Source organism: Homo sapiens, chromosome 13 (genome assembly GCF_000001405.40).
Source record: "Homo sapiens chromosome 13, GRCh38.p14 Primary Assembly".
In the NCBI taxonomy this organism is placed as follows: Eukaryota; Metazoa; Chordata; class Mammalia; order Primates; family Hominidae; genus Homo; species Homo sapiens.
The window spans coordinates 101,463,395-101,485,892 of record NC_000013.11 but is presented as its reverse complement, the minus strand read 5'-3'; the positions used below and the strand labels follow the sequence as shown (position 1 = coordinate 101,485,892).

The following is a 22,498-nucleotide window of genomic DNA, read 5'->3' as shown; positions in this document are numbered from 1 at the left end:
ACCAGCAGTGTAAAAGTGTGCCCTTTTCACCACATCCCTACCAACATCTATTGTTTTTTTGATGTTTTAATTATGGCCATTCTTTTGTTTTGTTTTGTTCTGAGACAGAGTCTCGCGCTGTTGACCAGGCTGGAGTACAGTGGCGTGATCTTGGCTCACTGCAAGCTCTGCCTCCCGGGTTCACGCCATTCTCCTGCCTCAGCCTCCCAAGCAGCTGGGACTACGGGCGCCTGCCACCACGCCCAGGTAATTTTTTGTATTTTTAGTAGAGACGGGGTTTCACTGTGGTCTCGATCTCCTGACCTCGTGATCAGCCCACCTCGGTCTCCCAAAGTGCTGAGATTACCGACGTGAACCACCGCACCTGGCCTAATTACGGCCATTCTTATAGGAGTAAGGTAGTATCTCACTGAGGTTTTAGTTTGCATTTCCCTGATGATTCGTGATTTTGAGCATTTTTTCATATGTTTGTTAGCTGTTTGTATATCTTTTTTTGAGAACTGTCTATTCATATCCTTTACCCACTTTTTGATGCAAACTTCTCTTTAAAAGACATGTGAATAAAAGAAAAATGCACCACATATATTTACCCATGTAATTACCATTTCTAGTTCTTTTCATGACTTAGTGTAGATTCATCTTTCCACTTGGCATGATTTTCCTTGTGCCTGCAGAACTTCCTCTAGCATTTCTTCTAGCTGACATCGACCAGTGATGATTCTCTTTTGTAAGCCTGAAAAAAGTCTTAATTTCACATTTGTTTTTGAAAAGTATTTTGCTGAGTTTAGACTTCTAGGTTTACATTTTTTCTTCAATCCTTTAAAGATGTTGTTCTACTGTCTTTGAAATAAGAGAAATCTGCTATCATCCTTATTTTCGTTCCTCTGTATACAGTATACGGTTTTTTCTCTAGATGCTTTTTAAGATTGTCTCCCTATTAACGGTTTTGAGCAATTTAATTTTGACATGCCTCAGTGTAGTGTCTTCAGATTTCTTTGTTTATAGTTCAAGTTTATTGAGCGTCTTGTGCTTGTGGATATACAATGTTCATCAAATTTGAAATATTTTCATTATTATTTCTTCAAATATTTTGCCAGTTCCTGTCCTTCACAAATTAAATTATACCTCTATTAGATCATTTAAAATTGTTTCACAGCTAACTGATGTTCCATTCATTTTTAAAACCTATTTTCTGAATAGTCCTAGGAGATGATTACACTAAAAACCCAGACTTCCCCCGCTATACAACATATTCATGTAGCAAAACTGCACTTGTAATCCTAAAATTTATACAAATAAAAATATTTTTCTGTTTTAATTTGGATAGCTTCGAATGCTCCATCTTCAAATTCACCGTTTTTTCTTCTGTGATGTGAATCTGCTGTTAATCCCATATAGTATTTTTCATATCAAATATTGTGGTTTTCATATCCAGAAACTCAACTTGGGTCAATTCACAATGTTGGAATAGAAAAATCACTGAGAATTTTTAAGAATTAAATAAACCATGTAGAAAAGCTATACATAATCACTGATAGGATAAATAAAACTAAATTCATGGCAGGAAATATTTGAAACCAGAAATCATTATCATTCAGTTCTAGGTATTTTGTAATTCTCTTGTTTTCCTAGGGTATTAGAGAAGTAAATTTTTTATGCTGATGGGTTTTTACCTATCCCTTTTAACCACAAAAATAAAAATAAAACTTAGAAAAATGCTGGGAAAAATTAGCTAAAATGTTGCTTCTGGGAGTTTCATTTTTTTTGGTATTTGCAAAAGTATCTACAATAAGCAATATATAACTAGTTAGACAAAAAGCAGGGGAAAAAAAAACCAAATATGCCGTCTACAAAAAAGAATAGAGATTGATGAAGAAAAATCATGACGAAGTTCCACAGAGCCTCAACTTTGAAGTACTGTTTTTCCATTTCAGGAATATCTGCCATATCTGAGGCCCTGCTGTGTGAATAGAGGATTTCTGATTAAGGCTAAGCTTCCTTTTAAAAAGCTAATTGATACTTTAATTATCTTAATGATGACAAAGCCTTTAATTAGCCTTTAATTATCTGAGTTATTTAAGCCATTCCACTTAAAGAAATATGTGATAACAATCAGATTAGATTTCAAAAATATGTGGTAAGATAGTAAAATAAGGACAATTTTTATATTAAGAAGGAAAAAAATTGAATTTTAGAAAAACATATTCAAATAAATGTTATTTTACAAACATCAAGCCTATCCTCCACACTAGCCCAAATAGCCCAGTATTAATAGTGTAATCAAGGTTATGAAACTAAAATTGCCCTCTAGGTAATAGGACATTGGAAAATGGGACTGTGCATTTTCTGTGCAAGTGAACATTTTTCTCCTTCTCCAGTCAAGTGATTGACTTCTAGAGCATCTCTGAATTTTTCTTTCATCAATAACTTCAGTTAAATAAATTTTGGCCTGAGGTTGTCTTCTGAAACAACTGAATCTTTGCTGTTTGTGACACATTGTCAATGATATTCTACATCTTCTTGTCCTTCTTGTGGCAATGCCCCCATACTAAATTAATTGCAACCTTGACAGTGGACAATATGACTAGAATAAGACAACTGGAACATCCCATTCACTCAGCATTGTGATTGGCTGAAGGACAGAGATACTCCCTGAGTCAGGCTACCCAGGAACATCAAGAGGATTCCAGGTGAGATAATTTCTCTGTCCACTGGACAGGGTGCTGTGATGATATGTATCTACTGTTGTCATTAGCCACCATGTGAAGCCTGGGTGTGGGGCTATCCCAGTGCCTAGCAGAGTCCACCTTTAGATCCTGGTGGTATCCTTTGAACCGTAAGTTGATTTGCACCCAGGGATAGATCCAGCTCTATACCAGTGTTTCTTAAACTTGACTATGGAAGCATCGGAAGCTGGAGGACTTGGTAATACACAGGCTGTTGAGCTCCACAGCCAGAGTCTCTGATGCCGTGAGTATGAAACTGAGAATTCACAGTTTTAACAAGTCCCCCGTTGATGCGTGTGCTGCTGATTCAAGAATCACACTTTGGAAATCACAGTCCTAACTACTTCAGTTAAGTGGTCCAGTAAATTGCAATTTTTTTCCTTACACACCCTTGGCTTGGGTTTTCTATTATACGGACCCCAAATAATGTCACAATCAGGTGTATCCTACCTGATACACCTATGAGTATTTGAAAAACATCTGCCTCCTAAATTAACCTAAATTACTTCACTTTATTTAGTGCCTATATATGGAAAGTATATGAGGAAATTATTACACAGCATAACATAAATTTCATGGTATATTTAGGGTGTTTTCCATTTCATACTATGCTACAATTAAATTTCATTCCATATTGTAATCAAATGTCATAGGTACATAAAAAACTAATACTTAGGTTTCTTTTCATTATAAAAGAGAGTAGGTTTCTGATATTTTTCATGAGGAATTTTATTATTGACAAATTTAAATGGAAACTATTTTTACAAATAAATATAATTAACAAGGCAGATAAGTATCATTTTACTTCAGATATAGTAAAAAAAAAAAACCTATACTCAGTGTCACAACCAGTGTTTTTCTTTTTAACATGCAATCTATAATTTTATTTCTCACTCATCTTTCCCAGTCCTAATGAGAAATGGCTAACCCACACCTAAAGGGTCAAAGTGCCCTAGACAGATACCTACAAATAAAAATTTAAATAACTAGAAAAACATCCAGATTCAATATTTTAAAGAAAATGTGTCGCATTCAAAAGTCAACTTTTTCAAGCCTTCTCGGCTAATACATGCTCATTACGTAATAAACTGGTAATCTTTGGGAGTTGATGTCTTCTTTGGCCCCCACTTTCTACCTTCAGACTGTCATTTCATGAACAACTGCCCCTCATTCCTTTGCCTCCCAAATATTGCCTTCTAAATTTCCCCTTTCTGGCCCCACCACATTCCCCTTGACTCTCCCAGGTACGATAAATATTTGCGGTGATGGATACGCTAATCACCTTGATTTGATCATTATACATTGTATACATATATTGAAATATCACTTTGCCTACCGTGAATATGTGCAACATTAATCTCAACTAAAAATTAAATGGGGAAAAATAAAAATATATACAACTCAAAATAAAAAGAAAATCTTGCATGTTAGTGAGGAGTATATATAGAGAGAACAATGAATGAATTTAAAAAGATTTAACCAAGGATGAGCAAAAGGTATTAGTACTTAACATCAGAGCATGATGGGCGTGGGTGTTCCTCCAGATATTCAGGGTTTTAACTTGAAATTCAAACCAAAAAGACACTCAGATATCTCTGGGATAAGGTGGAGGAAGGGTTGTAGAACTTGCAATATTTGAGAGCCAGAAGTCCATAACTAGTTACATTTACCAAATTGCAGCCCCATCTCCACCTCTTAACCCAGTCTCCAATTCCTGTCAGTTCTATAATATCACAATGTGCCTAGCATCATTCTTTCCCTTTTCTTCCTATAGCCACCCACAAAATTTTAGAATATTATTAATTTCACTATTAGCTATTAAAATAGCTAAATAGCTTTCTCCTTGGTACCTCCATTTGAAGGCTTTTATCTTTTTCCTATTTATCCCAAGAGTGATGTCCCAGAAACTCCTTTCTGGAAAAGCCAATTCTCTGCTCACATTGCCTGCCAAGGGCGTTCACAGTCTCTCTCTCTCTCTCTCATATGTATATATATGCTCTCTCTCATATATATATATATACATATATATATGCACATGTGTATATATATGTGTATATACATGCACGTGTGTGTATATATATGTGTGTATATATATGTATGTGTGTGTATATAGTTACACATATATGAGTACACACACACACACACACACACACACACACACACATATCTTTTGGCATTAAAAGGCTCCCTATGAGCTGCTCCTATTGATCTCTGAAGGTTTCTCTCCAACAGCATCTTTAAAAGAACCTGCTGGCCTAGGCAAGCAAAATGTCCATGATATCCTACCTTAAAATTTTGCTTGTTTGACTACAATGCAATTCTTTTCATACCCACCAGTCAACATCATGCTCATTTTCAAAACAACCCCAACTCCTCACATATAAAGCACTTTGTACTTCTCTAATACTGCATTATGCTATACTATAAACCTACTACTAAGTTTCTCAAGGACAAAATCATATGATTTTTTACTCTGAATTTATTTTTTTATTCTTACTTTTTATGGGTACATGGTAGATGTATATATTTACAGGGTGTGAGATACTTGGATACAGGCATAGAATGTGTAATAATCACATCAGGGTAAATGGGGTATTTATCTCCTCAAGCACTTATCATTTATTTGTGTTACAAACATTCCAATTGTATTCTTTTAGTTATTTTTAAATGTACAATAAATTATTTTTGACTGTAGTCACCCTACATTCATCTAGTATTTGTGTTATCAAATGGAAAAAATAGCATCATTGAGCTATCAAATACTAGATCTTATACACTGTATCTAACTATATTTTTGTACACTTTACTCATTCCCACTTCCACCCCTCTGCCACTCACTGCCCTTCCCAGCCTCTAGTAACCATCATTCTACTCTCTGTATCCATGAATTCAATTGCATTGATTTTTAGCTCCCACAACTTAGTGAGGACATGCAGAGTCTGTCTTTTTGTTCCTGGCTTATTCACTTAAAATAACGTCCTCCAGTTCCATCCATGTTGTTTCAAATGACAAGATCTCATTCATTTTTTATGGCTGAATAGTACTCCACTGTGTATAGATACCACATTTTCTTTAACTGTTCATCTGTTTATGGCCACTTAGGTTGCTTCCAAGTCTTTTGTGATAGTGAATAGTGCTGCAATAAACATAACAGGGCAGATATCTCTTCCATACCCTGATTTCTTTTCTTTTCGGTATGTATCCAGCAGTGGGATTGCTTGATCATATGATAGCTCTATTTTTAGTTTTTTGAGGAACTTCCAAATTGTTCTTCACAGTGGCTATGCTAATTTTCATTCCCACCAACACTGTAAGAGGGTTCCTTTTTCTCCAACTCTCATACACTGTTGGTGGGAATGTTACTGCCTGCCTTTTGGATTAAAGCCACTTTAACTGGGGTGAAACGATATCTCATTGTAGCTTTGATTTGCATTTCTCTGATGATCTGTCATGTTGAGCACCTTTTCATATGCCTGTTTGCTATTTGTATGTCTTCAAAAAATATCCATTCAGATCTTTGGCCCATTTTGATTGGATTTTTAGATTTTTTTTTTCCTGTTGAGTTGTGTGGGCTTCTTATATATTCTTGATATTAATCTCTTGTCAAATGAATAGTTTGCAAATATTTTATCCTATTCTGTGGGTTGTCTCTTCACTTTGTTGATTGTTGCCTTTGCTGTGCAGAAGCTTTTTCACTTGATGTGATCCCATTTGTCCATTTTTGCTTTGGTTGCCTGTGCTTGTGGGGTATTACTCAAGAAATCTTTGCCCAGACCGATGTCCTAGAGAGTTTCCTCAACTGTTTCTTTTAGTAGTTTCCTAGTTTGAGGTCTTAGATTTAAGTCTTTAATACATTTTGATTTGATTTTTGTATGTGGTGAGAGATAAGGGTCTAGTTTTATTCTTCTGCATATGGATATCAGTTTTCCCAGAGCCATTTATTGAAGAGATTGTGTTTTCCTCAATGTATGTTCTTGGCACCTTTATAAAAAATGAGGTCACTGTAGATGTATGGATTTATTTATGTGTTCTCTATTCTATTCCTTCAGTCTATATGTCTGTTTTTATGCTAGTACTATACTATTTGGGTTACTATAGCTCTGTGTTATAATTTGAAGTCAGGTAATATGATGCCTCCAGTTTTGTTCTTTTTGCTCAAGATGGCTTTGGTTATTCTGGGTATTTTGTAGTTCAATAAATTTTAAGATTACTTTTTCTATTCTTGTGAAGAATGTCATTGGTATTTTGATAGAGATTACATTTTATCTGTAGATTGCTTTGGGTAGTATGGATGCTTTAACAATATTGAGTCTTCTAATCCATGAACATGAAATCTCTTTCCATTTTTTGAGTCCTCTTCAATTTTTTGCATCAATGTTTATAGTTTTCATTGTAGAGATCTTTCTCTTCTTTGGTTAACTCATTTTATTTGTAGCTGTTGTAAATGAGGTTACTTTCTTGATTTCTTTTTCAAATTGTTTGCTGTTGGCATTTAGAAGTGCTATTGATTTTTATATTTTGATTTTATATCCTGAAACTTTACTGAATTTATCAGTTCTAATAGTTTTTTGGTGGAGTCTGTGGGTTTTTCTAAGCATAAGATCATATCATCTGCAAACAAGGATAATTTGACTTCTTCCTTTCCCATGTGGATGAACATTATTTCTTTTTCTTATCTGATTGTCTGACTAGGACTTCCAGTACTGTGTTGAATAACACTGGTAAAAGTGGGCATCCGTATCGTGTTCTTGATCTTCAAGGAAAGCCTTTCAGTTTTTCCCCAATCAGTATGATACTAGCCATAGGTCTGTCATATGTGGCTTTTATTGTGTTGAAGTTTGTTCCTTCTATACCCAGTTTTTTGAGGGTTTTTATCATGAAGTAATAGTGACTTATCCAATGCTTTTTCAGTATCAACTGAAATGATCATATGGCTTTGTCCTTCATTCTGCTGATATGTTGTATCACGTTGATTGATTTGCATATGTTGAACCATCCTTGCATCCCAGGGATAAATCCCACTTAGTCATGATGAATGATCTTTTTAATGTGTTGTTAAATCTGGTTTGCTAGTATTTTGTTGAGGATTTTTGCACCAATGCTTATCAGGGATATTGGCCTATAGTTTTCTTACTTTGATGTGTTTTTGTCTGGTTTTGGTATCAGGGTAATATTAGCCTCACAGAATTAGTTTGGAAGTATTCCCTCCTCCTCCATTTTTTGAAATAGTTAAAGTAGGATCGGTATTATTTCTTTAAATGTTTTGTAAAATTGAGCAGTGAAACCATTGAGTCCTGGGCTTTACTAGGCCAGGAAACTTTTCATCAATGTACAATAAACTATGGTTTCAATTTTATTACTGTTATTGGACTATTTAGGTTTTGAATTTCTTCTTGGTTCAATCTTGATAGGTTGTATGTGTCTAGGAATTTATCCATTTCTTCCAGGTTTTCTAATTTATTGGCATATATATAGTTGTTCATAGTAGTCACAAATGATCCTTTGAATTTCTGTAGTATCAGCTGTAATGTCTCCTTTTTCATCTCTGATTTTATTTATTTGGCTCTTCTTTTTTAGTCTGGCTAAAGGTTTGGCAATTTTGTTTATCTTTTCAAAACACCAACTTTCCCTTTGGTTGATCTTTTGTTATTTTTTTAATTTGATCTCATTTATTTCGGCTATGATCTTCACTATTTTCTTCCAGTAATTTGGGGTTTGGTTTGTTCTTGCTTTTCTAATTCTTTAACATGCACCACTAGGTTGTTTATTTGAAGTTTTTGTACTTTTTTGATGTAGGTCCTTATTACTATAAACTTTCCTCTTAGTATTGTTTTCATTGTATTCCATAGGTTTGGGTATGTAGTCTTTCCATTTGTTTTAAGAAATTTTTAAATTTATTTCTTAATTACTTCATTGACCCATTGGTCATTCAGGAGCATATTGTTTAATTTCTGTGTGTCTGCATAGTTTCCAAAGTTCCTCTTGTTATTGATTTCTAGTTTTATTCCATTGTGGTCTGAGAAGATATGTGATATAATTTCAATATTTTTGAATTCTTTAATACTTGTTTTGTGGCCTAACATATAGTCTACCCTTGAGAATGATCCATGTGCAGAGGAGAAGCATGTGCACTTTGCAGCCATCGATGTTCTTGGAAATACCTATCAGGTTCAATTGGTCTGTAGTGCAGATTATGTCTGATGTTTCTTTGTTGATTTTCTGTCTAGATGATCTGTCCAATGCTGAAAGTGGGGTGTTAAAGTCTTTAGCTCTTATTGTATTGGGGTCTATCTCTCACTTTAGCTCTAATAATATTTGCTTTACATGTCTAGGTGCTCCAGTTTTGGGTGTATATATATTTACACTTGCTATAACTTCTTGCTGAGTTGACTCCTTTATCATTACATAATAAACTTGCCTCTTATATAGTTTTTGTCTTGAAATCTATATTGTCTGACATAAGTATAGCTATTCCTGCTCTTCTTTGGTTTCTGTTTGTATGGAATATGTTTTTTCATCCCTTTATTTTCAGTCTATTTGTGTCTTACAGATGAAGTGTGTTAGTTGTGGGCAAATGTTCATTGGGTCTCATTTGTTTTGTTTAGTTTTTGAATCCAGTAAGTCACTCCATGTCTTTTGATTAGAGAGTTTAGTCCATTTATATTCAATATTATTATTAATAAGTAAAGACTTAATCTTGCCATTTTGTTACTTGTTTTCTGGTTGTTTTGTCATCTTTCCTTCTTTCTTGCCTTCCTTCTTGTCTTCCTTTTTGTGAAGATTATTTTTTCTGATGGTATGTTTTAATTTCATTTTTAAACTTTTTATCTGTCAGTTTTTGGAATTGAGGTTACTATGAAGCTTGCAAATAATATCTTATAATTCATTATTTTAAACTGATGACAACACTGATTGCAAAAATGAACTAACAAGCAAAGAGAAAACTAATGAAAACTCTACACTAACTTCATCCACCCACTTTTTAACTTTTTATTGTTTCTATTTATGTTATTATGTCTTAAGAAGTTATTGGAGTTATTATTTTTGATAGGTTCATCTTTTAGTCTTTCTACTCAAAATATAAATATTTTACACACAATTACAGTGCTATAATATTCTGTATTTGTCTGTTTACTTACTATTACCAGAGAGTTTTGTACCTTCAGATAATTTCTTATTGCTTGTTAACATCCTTTTCTTTTAGATTGAAAAACTAGCATTTCCCATAGGACACATCTGATATTGATGAAATCCTAAGCTTTTGTTTATCTGGGAAAGTTTTGTTGCTTCTTTATGTTTGAAGGATATTTTCACTGAATATGTTACTGTAGGATAAAAGTTGTTCCCCACCTCCCCAGCCCCCACCACCTGCCCCCCATCAGCATTTTAAATATGTTGCACCAGTCCCTTTTGGCCTGTAGGGTTTCCACTGAGAAGTCTGCTCCAATGTATTGGAGTTCCTTTGAATGTTACTTGTTTCTTTTCTCTTGCTAATTTAAGAATCTTTTCTTTATCCTGGACCTTTGGGAATTTGACTATTGAATTCCTTGAGGTAGTCTTATTTGGGTTAAATCTATTTGATGTTCTATAACCTTCTTGTACCTGAGTATTGACATATTTCTCTAGGTTTGGAAATTTCTCGGCTATCCCTTTGAATAAATTTTCTATGCTGATCTCTCTCTCCCCCTTCTCCTTAAGACAAATAGCTCTTAGATTTACCCTTTTGAGGCTATTTTCTGGGTCTTGTAAGCAAACTTCATTCTTTTTGTCTTTTGTCTCTTCTAACTATTCAAATAGCCTGTCTTCAAACTCACTAATTCTTTCTTCTGTTTGATCAATTCTGTGGTTGATAGATACTGATGCATTCTTCAGTATGTCAACTGAATTTTTCAGCTCCAGAATTTCTGCTTTTTTTAATTATTTCAATCTCTTTGCTAAATTTATCTGATAGAATTCTGAATTCCTTCTCTGTGTTATCCTGAATTTCACTGATCTTCCCCAAAACAGGTATTTTAAATTATCTTTGACAGGTCACATAACTCTGTCACTCCAGGATTGGTCCCTGGTGCCTTATTCAGTTTGTTTGGTGAGGTCATGTTTTCCTGGATGGCCTTGATGCTTGTGGATATTCACTGATGTCTAAGCATTAAAGAGTTAGGTATTTATTGTTGTCTTCACTGTCCAGGCTTATTTGTATCTGTCCTTCTTAGAAGGGATTTCCAAGCATTCAAAGGGAATTGAGTGTTGTTATCTAAATCTTTGGTCATTGCAGCTGTGTCTGCATTAGGGGGCACCCCAAGCCCAGTAATGCCGTGATTCTTACAGACTTGTAAAGGTATCTCCTTGGTGGTCCTGGATAAGATCCAGGAGAATTCCTTGAATTACCAGGCAGACTCATGTTCTCTTCCCTTACTTTCCTCCAAACAAATGTAGTCTCTCTTTTCACACTGATCTGCCTGGAACTGGGGGAGGGGTAACACAAGCACCCCTGTTGCAACTACTACTGGGACTACTCTGGGTCAGTCCCAAAGCCAGCATGGTACTAGGTCTCACCCAAGGCTCATAGCAACCACACTGCCTGGCTACTGCCAATTTTGTTCAAGGCCCAGGGGCTCTTCAGTCAGCAGGTTGCAAACTGAGCCAGGATTGTGTTCCTCCCTTCAGGGCAGCAAGCTACTCCCTGGCTCAAGGCTGGCCCAGAAATGCTGTCCATGAGCCAGTGCGTGGAGTCAGGAAACTTAATAATCTACTTAGTGCACTGTTCTGCTGTGACTTGAGTTGGCACCCAAGCTGCAAAACAAAGTTCTTCCCACCCTTCCCTCTCCTTTCCTCAGTCAGAAAGAGTGTCTATCCATGGCCATTACCACCCCAGGCTTGGTACCAATGTTCACTCAAGGCTCAGCTTGTGGTGAATGCTACCAGGCCTTGGTCTCTCCCTTCAGGGCAGTGGGCTTCCCTCTGGCCCAGTGTGGGTCCAGAAATGCCATCCAGGAGTCAAGGCCTAGAACTGTAGAACTGGGGACCCCAGGGATTCACTTGATCCTCTAACCCACTGGGCCAAGCTGTTGCCCAAGCTGTAAGACAAAGTCCCCTTTACTTTTCTTTCTCCTTTCTTCAAGCAAAAGAAATCTCTCTCCATGGCCAACACAGCTTGAAATATGTTGGATCACACCTGAATCTAGCATGGCCCTGGGTCTCACCCATGGCCCACAGCAAGTACTGCCTGGGTACCACTGATATTTATTCAAAACCCAGGTGCTCTTTAGCCAGGTGATGAATTCTGCCAGCACTGGGTCCTTCTCTTCAAGGTAGTGGGTTTCCTTCTGGCACAAGGAGCTAGTGCCTCGAATGGGGGCTCTGGTACACTATTTTATTGTGGCTGAGCTGGTATGCAAGTTGTAAGACAAATTCCTCTTTACCCTCTCCTCCTGGAGCTATGAGCTGCACTGCCTAGGGTCAAAGGAGGGGTGATGCACACACTCCCTTGGCTGCCCTGGCTGGTGTCTCACCAGGTCACATGCATCCCACATCCACTGGCTCCAAGCCCAGCACAGAGCAGGACTTGCCCAGAAATCTTAGTTCTTATGGTCTAGATTGTCTTTCAAGTTTATTTAAAACACCAGACTACTTTAGTCCACAGTGGTGGTGCTAGCCAGAACTCAGGCTCCAACTGCTAGAATGGATGATTCCGCTCTGGCTAGGGCTGATCAAAATGATCTGTCTGTAGGCATCAGCTGAATCCTGCCCCTTGTTGTCTTCCACTGTACAGGGCAAAACTGAGTTCCAATCCAAAGTTCCACAATCACTGTTCCCTCTCCCTCAACAGCACAGAGATGATCTCTCCACACTACATGGCTGCTGCCGGCGGATGGGGTAGGCATGGTGTGGTGATTCAAGACTGTCTTTCCTACCTCTTCATTGCCTCTTTCTTTGATATGGTATTGAAACCGGGTACTGTGATCACTCATCTGGTTTTTGGTTCTCATAAAGGTGCTTTCCTGCATGGATAATTGTTCAGTTTGGTGTTTCTGTGGGGTGGATGATCATTGGAGGGTTCTAGTTGGCTATCTTGTTCCACTTCCCTCTCAAGAATCACATTTTAATCTTTATAACCTCTGCAGCTACAAATATAGCATCTTATAAATAGTAGTTCCTTAATAAATAACTGTTGATTGAACAACATAATTATACACACAACATAAATATATACAACTCTTAATTTATATATCAATATATAAATCCTTGACTCTATATATGAGAAAGCAGTCCATTTTTAGAGTTTTAATTCTTAAAGATTGTGTTCATTTGATATGGATAAATATGTTTGTCAAATATATTTATACAAATATGGACATCAAATCAAAATGTATATTAAATTTCAAAATTGATGAAACTTTATGGAAATATTAGTTCCTAAAGGAATTAAAGTTCCTCATTAAAAAAAATGAAACAACCCTCTGCATTAAGTTAATGGACTTCACAATAGCATTGTCAGTTAATTTAAAACAGTTGACTGGCCACCCAATGCCTGTGTGAGAGCTAACACCATTTAAAACCATTTACGTTTTCCTTTCTTCTCAAGTAAGTTGAGTTATATGGTTTAAAAACCCCCAAAACAGAAATCTGAATAATAATATGTTGACTGCTTCCAATACTCTTGAAGTTCTCAAGAAATTCTAAAAGTAGCTTATTCAAAGATCTAAGCATATTATCCTACATAAAATATTATTTTAAGGTAGAAAACGCACGAAAATTAAAGTAATGTAACAAAACATAGGTAAGCAGCTTACTGAATGTGCATATAAAAACAGACAACTACTGAATCTGTCTCATGATTTGTACCAACAGTTTGGTTGTTATCTTTGCTGTGCTTTATGGGATTTGTAACATACATTTACACTAAGAGCATTTGGAAGGTGCCATAAAGTGGCATATTGGATATATTTCAGTGCAGTGTTCTTTAACTCATAAGACATTAAGTCTATATTTAGGAAATTAAGGATTTTTGTGAAGGGACATGAAAATTTTTAAACAAGTAAAAATACATCCAGAAGTTAATACATAAGAGAGTTCATATCAATCTCATAAAAATGAATTCCCTAAACATAGACCTAATGTCTTATGATGTCAATATAATTTACTATGTAATTGATTAATATGGTTATACTTAAAATAAAAATAAAATGTATTTATTTCCAAATTAAATTTAAATGTCAGATGTTTATGATCATGTCAATAAATTAATTTCACTGAATATTTGAATATCCCTTCTAAATCCTACTGATGGTATTACTGCTGTGAGCTCCTCACTCACTCCCACCATGCAGAGCAGAGATATCTGGCTTGGGCCTGTGGCTCCTTTTGCCCAGTGATGTTTGGATATAAAGTGCATGTTATTGGTTCAGAGTCAAAGATTTAAGAGATCTCAAGTATTTCGTCTCACTTTCTAGTGCTCCTGTGATCCACAATACCGAAAACGTAGCTTGGGTAGCATAAAAATAACGTGCAGCAGAATGCAGCCAGCCTTCAGCCTGAAGTCCAGGCTTGCCTAGCTGAGTTGTAGCTCATTTGCACACCCAAGAGTGAGAAATATATATACACACACACACACACACACACACACACACACACACATACATACACACACACACACACATATATATTTGTGTTGCCTTTCTGTAAGCCACTAAATGTTGTGGTGGTCTGTAATGAAGCATTCTTGAAGCAATAACAACAAAGACCTAAGAGAAAATCTTACAGAAAATCAGATACTATTCCTGCCCTTGAGGAGTATATAATTTAATCATAGTGACATGGGAATGGCCTGATAATACTGATAACAAAAAGAAGTTGCTGTTGAGGATTTATTACCTGCAAGGGAGTTTTCTCAATAATAACACTATGATAAGAGGAAACAGAGGCACAAGCAAATCAACTAACTTCCCAAAATCGAGCCAGTTTTGGAACCCATATAGTCTTTCTCCTTCAATCTCCTCAGCATTCTCCCTCTCACACTTTCACATATGAAAATGACATTTAATTATGGTAGATTAATAATGCATGTGATAATTCAAAATTCAGAAAAGAGATTTAATACTTCTTGGGGCATTTGTTAGCCAGTGTCACTGTACTAAATGGTGTAACTTAATAACAAAGTGACTGATTGCACAGTTTTTATTTCAGACAACATGTGATCTTAAACATTTTATTTAATCTTTTTGAGGCTCATGCTTTTATCTTTAGAATGGTAAGATGATATTTGTTTATTGGGAGAATTTAACACCACACAAGAAGGATGTAGCAATTCTAAATAAATGTTAGCTGTATTATCATTACCTTATTTCAAATTAAGAATAAGCATATAGGATGATTATAATTAAATAGATTTTTAAGGGCACCCCATAGAATGTTGTCCTACTAGAAAAGGAATTTTTTTCCAGACTATTGCTATTCTCTTCTAAACACCACCCCTCCACCCCTCCCACACACACCTCATTCATTAGTTGTTCTTCAAAGTCATGGCTCTCTTGCTAGGTTGCCTAGTTGACTTTCATATAAAGGGCAGCAGAGACTATTATGGTTTTTGATAACTATACACCCAGAGGGTAAATGTTGAGATGCACACAAATATCATTATTTCATTGTGCTTTAACAGACTGTGTGCATATAGTTGGGGAATTAAAGACAAACACCACGTCTACTTTATAAAATAGTAATGCATAGGCAGGAGAATCACTGGAACCCAGGAGGTGGAGTTTGCAGTGAGCCGAGATCGCGCCACTGCACTCCAGCCTGGGTGACAGAGCGAGACTCCATCTCAAAAAAAAAAAATAAATTAATTAAAAAAGGAATAAAATAGTAATGCCTATATTATACTATCTTTCAAGCACTGGACATGCATTAAATAATTATTTATGGATATGAAAGTTCTTAAATCCTCAAGGAAAGCAGAGCTTCCAAGGTTAGCTAAGGTAACAGAATATTTCGTTTTGCAGTCAACTGTAAGAAAACAAATTCTTTCCACCCTCTTATCAAATCTACAGTAACTGGAGATCCAGCTCCTGTTGCCATCTGATGGCTGAAATCTCACAGCTAATGAGGCTAGGTCTGATCATAAGATTTCCCTGTTCTTCTCTAGACATCCTTCTGGAGATGTTTAATAAGTGCCTTTTGAATTTAACTGAACTGAGGCTCAGAGAAGTTACGTGATTTGTGCAAGATCACACAGGCAGCAACAATAGCGGAGAAAGATCAAACAGCTTTGTTTTTTAATTCCAATTCCCAAGCATTTTCCAGAGCATTCTGCCTCTGCATTTTCATCCTACCCAAACCTGCCTGCTTAGTTTTCCCAAGGAAAAGATTGTTAAATTCAGTAAAGACTGTACTATCTTTTAATAAAAGATCAGCGCATTGCCACTCATAGGTCTTAAAATACAACATCTGTTTTTGTGGTGTTTTTTGTTTTTGTTTTTTTATAGATGGAAAGATGGAGTTTCACTCTTGTCACCCAGGCTGGAGTACAATGGTGTGATCTCAGCTCACTGCAACCTCCACCTCCCGGTTTCAAGCAATTATCCTGTCTCAGCCTCCCAAGTAGCTGGGATTACAGGCACCCACCACCATGCCCAGCTAATTTTTGTATTTTTAGTAGAGACAGGGTTTCACCCATGTTGGCCAGGCTGGTCTCGAACTCGTGACCTCAGGTGATCCACCTGCCTCGGCCTCCCTAAGTGCTGGGACTACAGGCATGAGCCACAGCGCCTGGCAACAACTGGTGTATTAACAGGGATATTTGAAATATTGAAAGACCACAATATCCAGAATCCCAGGTAGGCAGGATGTCCCCATAAGCCTTCATATTATGACCCACGGTCCACCCATTCATTTCCAAGATGCAAAGTGAACCTACATGATGATCCATTCAAAACTGTTCAGCTTTCTGTAAATGCCTTTCTTCTCTCTCTTTGCAGTATTGTTGGCTCGCATAGCTTTGATCTCAAAAAGGCTATACGTATATTAAAACCTGCATGTGTTTAAATTTTTGGAGCTCACTTTATGAAATGTAATGTTATAAGAACAAAAGAGAATCTCTGATGTGACTTATTCGTAATAGCCAAAATATGTAATACACAAAATAATGTAAGGTAATGCCCAAGGAAATAACAAATATGTAGATTCAACTCTCCTACCTACCTTTTCTTTCACTTTTATAGACAAGAAAAATTAGGTTATGGAGGAGTTCCTTCAAAGGCTGACTCAGGAGGATCCTTCTTATTTGGATATGGTTGATGTTAAATGCAATCTCTCTAAAAACTTCAACTACAGCTGAGAAAATGCTCATTATCAGTACGACAAGTAATTTTGTCCCAGTGATTTCGGCTATCTCACTTTCTTTAACATGAGATGCATAACGGGTTCTTTTGCCCAGTACTTTCTTACCATTTGAGCTTTTACATGCACTCTCTAAGACAAAAATAAGAATCAAAATCTACTTTTCCAAAAAGAAGTTATATTTTTAAATGTAAATAAAGTTTCTGAAAATTATGTTTTTCTTTCAGTACTCCAAAATTCATGAAGAAATTATCCCTACATATGTGCTTTTAGGATAATTTTACTATAATGCTGAAGAAAACCCTTCTATTGATTTGGGGTGGGAGGAATTTCTCCTCAGGCTTACTTAGCACAATAGTTGGAGGATAATTGTTTTGACTATCTCTTAAAAGTTATTATAAAAAGTGAATGAATTCATATGTATGAAAATATTTTCCAGCATACTATACTCAAATATAGGTAGATACTACTCTTACTCATTTGTATTTCTAATGTAGCATTAATTTCAAGGCTTAAAATTATCCAAACAGGCAACTGAGAGAAGTCTCTCGAGCACATAGTTAACAAATCAAATACTTTCTTTCTTGAAGCAAGTGAATTATTTCCATGTCAAGACAGCTCTTAGAGCTCATATAACTAATGGTGTTGCCCAGGAAAGAAAAGAAAATAGTCTATAACTTGTCTTTTGTATTTTGGAGAGGAAACTGCTTAAATGGCCAAGTCACTTTGTTTATAAAAATAACTAGTTTTGTCTAACTATTTTGCTCAGCAGAAAATGATAGCTTTGAAAAAGCAGTAATGAACAATTAGGAAATGCATTTACCACGTTTTCATTTTCTGATTTTGGCTCCTTACTCTACCCCATTGACTAAGTCATGAATTTACAGTTAATACCTTGCCGTAAGAGAAGTTTTTAAGCAATGCCCAAACTCATTGACCTCTTTTAAAAAAAAAAATTTAGCCTACCTTTCCCTAGGAAGTTTCCAGATAAAATAACAGAACAGGAAACTAGAGTGGGTAGGTATTCACTTTAAATAATTCGGTGTTTGAACTAGTGACTATGTACAAACAATTACAACGATAGGGCTCTTGGTACAGGGACTGATTTTATCGTATAACCTAAGAGTGGGGTTGTACAAAGTCAAATCAGTAAGCACCCTTATAAAAGTCTTATTTTTCTTTTCTCTTTATAAAGCCCTCATTCTTCTACCCAGCCTTAAGTAAGATGATTTAGAGTAGACAGGAGAATGACTTCTATTACAAAATATAGTTTCTTATTTGCCAGGAAATGTGATTCTTGGAAAGACAAAGCACTCCTTTTCCAAAGAAAATGAGATTTGCAACCCCCATGCAGCTCTCTATCTTTATCAATTTAGAAGTTATTAGAAAATAGCTTGAGAATTTACCCACGTAGAGTCCCAAAAACGCCCTGGTAAATTCCCCTGATACTCTCAGTCTAGCTGTACCAGACTTTTCCACCTTCTTAGATGTGACTCTTGCCTTTAAATCTCAGACCAGGTTTGGAAGCTAAATTTCCCAAAGGACAAAGGCTTCAATATCCCCGTCCCACTGATGTGAGGTTTCCCTTTGCCAAGGTCAGCTAGTAGACCGGCTGCTATGATATAAATATTGACCCATATTTTGGAACCTAATCCCCAACGTGACAGTATTAAGAAGGTGGGTGGGCCTGCAGGAGGTGATTAGGTCATGAGCACTCCAGGCTCATTAGTGGGATTAGTGCCCTTATAAAAGAGGCTTGGGGGAGCCTGTTTACCCCTTCCAACATGTGAGGATACAGTTGCCATCCAGGAAGCTGAAAATGAGCCCTCACCATACACTGAATCTGTTGGCACCTTGATTCTAGACTTCCCAGCCTCCAGAACTGTGAGCATTAAATTTGTCCTGTTTCTAAATTACTCAGTCTAGGGTATCTTGTTACAGCAGCCTGAATGGACTAAACCATCTACCCTGCAACAAATTCTAAAGGAGTCCTTCCTTCGGGTTGACATAAAAGGACACTAGACAGTAATTCAAAACCATACAAAGCAGAGCTCCAGGAAAGATCGATCTGTACTGTTTACTCAGAACTGTGCTAAATACCTATTTTTTGTGCTAAATATTTTTGTTTTTAGTTTCCAGAAAAATATGTGAGATGGTGCTAGTATTCAGAATATTCAGCATATTTGTAAACATAAGAAAACACGTGAAATCATGAAAAATGTGTTTGGTGTAGACTGTATTAAGTGACAGTGATGTTAAGATCTAACTAGAGAGATGGGAGCATACAAGGTGAGAAAGAGGAAGCGGGTCAGCATGCCATTAAAGAGGAATCAGATTCTAGAATGTCTTAATGGCCAAGTAGATTAGAAGCCAAAATTTAGATTTGATACCTATAGTATATACCCTCAATGTGTGTTCATGAAGTGAATCAAAGCAGGGGTACAGAATAAGTGGCCAGTATAAATGGTTAGAATGATCTTTGAAGTGAATTTGAAAAGCACAGATACTTGACAAAATGTCACTTACGGTGATTCACCAAGTGGTGGTATACAGGATAGACAGAAGGGAAGACAGCCTGAATGAAGCATGAGGTGTGATAAGAACTTTACTATTACTAATATTCCTTGTCAAGGGAAATGAAGGCTAAGCTAAGTCACTAGCAATAGAACTAAATTCAGCAGAAAATTAAGTAAAAACATTAGCAATATTGGCAGGATATGAGAGCAAATGAAAAGGATGAGTCAAAGTTGGCCATAGTTTAGTTGGATGACTAAGAGGATCCCCTCCCCTCCAAGTTTTCTTGGCCTTTCTGACTCCACGTCTTCATTTTGGTTGGCTTGTCAACTGTTTATCAGTAACATCACTACCTCTGCTCTTAAAGTTATGAGTGTCTTTATCCTCTACGCTCTACAGTTACCGCTATCCTCAATTATTAATCTTTTCAGATGCCTTTACCTAAATATTTATTCCATAGCCATAATGGTAATTTAAATAAGCTGAATCTCATTTATTCACTGAACATATATTTACTGAGCCCCTACAAACTGCCAATTACTCATTGCAGGGATCCTCAACCTCATACCTTCTCTTCAAAAAAGTCAGAAGTACCATACCAAATATAAATGGGTGACTGTTATTTGCCAAGATCACATAGTAGATAAGTGGAAAAGTAGATAATAGGGCCTGTTTCTCCTGTCTCCTAATCCAGTTATCTTTCCACTGATGCAAGCTGCTTCTTAAGGCAGAGGGTCTTAAAACCGGACAAATCTAAAGCTGATTTATCACATTATTTTATTTCCTTTTTTCTTCCTTCTGAGATGTGACTACAAAATTCACAGTAATTTAGCAAAGAATAGCATATCTGTTAATAGATATCAGAATTTATTATTAGAAGCAAAATAATACAAGCAGCTATTATTGCCTCAAAGATAGAGAAAATTTATCATAGTTTTATATTTTTAAGACTATGTCTTTCAGAGGACAGCTATAAGAGAATCCTGAGTGATTTTTGTCTCCAACCCTAGACTCAAGGATTTCCAATGAAACCTAATTTTGGTGACATTTCCAAATACTCCACAAAAATGTATATAGCATTAAAATATATTAGTCATAAGAATGTCACTATTATTTATTTTGAAAAAAGAAAAGAAGCTGTTTTCTCTTTTCTATCTTTGCACAGTTTTAGTATAACAATATGAGGACCATTTACCAACTATTAACTGTAATTCGAATGTGACTTGAATAGCCTAAAAGCATTTAGTTAACTCCATAGTGAAAAAAGAATCCAATTATGAATCACCCAAATGATACGTCATTGTTTTCATGGCATTCATTAAACAGATAAAGACACAAAAGTATTCCCCAATGAGATATTGATTTCTAGCAGGTTTACACATGTGGCATCAATCCCAAGCAACCTTTATATCAAGAGTGTCAGCATTACAGAAATTTGAAAGTGGACTTGACTTCGATCTGCAGGTAGTGGTCTACCAGAAAAGGGCTTACGCATGTATGTCCCTGTGTATAACATTTAGACTCACACATATATACAAACACACATATATATGTATGTTTGTGCACATACTTACATATTCACATATGTATGGCGTATGTGTATAAAATTAGGGTATCAAATATGTATGTATACATATATAAATATGTGTATATATATTATGTTTGTACAGGCAATCAAAATATATACATATACCAAATATAAATGGGTAAAATATATGTATTTTGATTGGCTATACAAGCATAAATAATATATAGGAGGATATATAAACATATGCATATATATATATATAGAGAGAGAGAGAGACCCTCTCTGGGTCTTCTATGTATACATATACATAATAAACCAGAATGTAAAAAACTACATATATACATACAGACACATGCATATATGTCTGTGTCCTTAATATCTGAGTACATCAACACTTGGGGTACAAGCCAAGATTTTAGAGGCCATGGATGGGCAAAAAATGAGATGACAGAAATAATAACTAAACTCCTTGTGAAAAATGAACATTATTTGAAAGTGAAATAAAAAAACAGAAATGTGATGAGAAGGAGGGGATCAAACAGGATAAAGAAGAGAGGCTGAAGTACATAACAAAGCATTGGGAGTTTTAAGAATGGGTCAGGCGTGGTGGCTCATGCCTGTAATCCCAGCACTTTGGGAGGCTGAGGCGGGTGGATCGCCTGAGGTCAGGAGTTTCAGACCAGCCTGGCCAACCCAGTCTCTACTAAAAATACAAAAATTAGCCAGGTGTGATGATGGGCGCCTGTAGTCCCTGCTACTCAGGAGGCTGAGGCAGGAGATTCGTTTGAATCCGGGGGGTGGAGGTTGCAGTGAGCTGAGATCACACCACTGCACTCCAGTCTGGGTGACACAGCGAGAATCTGTCTCGGAAAAAAAAAAAAAAAAAAAGAACTAGAATGACTCCTATTCAATCTTCAGTAGTTTGCATTCTTATGATTAAATAACACACAACCCAATGTCTCCACAACATTCAGTAATGTTTATTACATATTTTTAAAAATATGTGAGTTATTTTGATTTTGTTTTTTTATTGTGTTGCTTTCTGCAGTTTTGCAACTGAAGAAGCAGTTTCTGGGATCAACCTATTTGGGATCAACAATTTAGAGGAGATCAAGGAACACCCTAGAAGTACAGGCATCTCAGTGGAGGGAAGAGTCAGAAGCAGAATTGCACTTATAGAGTAAGCCCTGGGAGTCTGCAGACGTCTAAAGGTTTCCAGCAGAGAAAAAGCATGAAAATTCCAAATTCAAGGACTAATTATACAGTTCTGAGGGTAGGGTTCTGGAGCATTCCATTAGATCAATTATGATCATATAAATCAGGGTACAGATTTCAGGGACAGGAACACAAAAGGCAGGTTCTGAGACAAAGACATATACAAGACTCAGACGGCTGGCAG

At 36.2% G+C, this 22,498-nt stretch overlaps 1 protein-coding gene across 3 annotated transcripts in view, besides 1 other annotated feature; it reads right to left on the bottom strand.

Annotated features, from left to right (window-relative positions):
- Nucleotides 1-22,498, bottom strand: part of ITGBL1 (integrin subunit beta like 1) — a 268,182-nt gene that overhangs the window by 234,964 nt on the left and 10,720 nt on the right. The window lies entirely within an intron of this gene.
- Nucleotides 11,536-12,036: an enhancer, noted in NCBI's record as "H3K27ac hESC enhancer chr13:102126208-102126708 (GRCh37/hg19 assembly coordinates)". NCBI's record gives its function as "activates a minimal SCP1, AML or CMV promoter by ChIP-STARR-seq in naive H9 embryonic stem cells {active_cell/tissue: H9 hESC(naive)}" and the evidence as "EXISTENCE:reporter gene assay evidence [ECO:0000049][PMID:30033119]".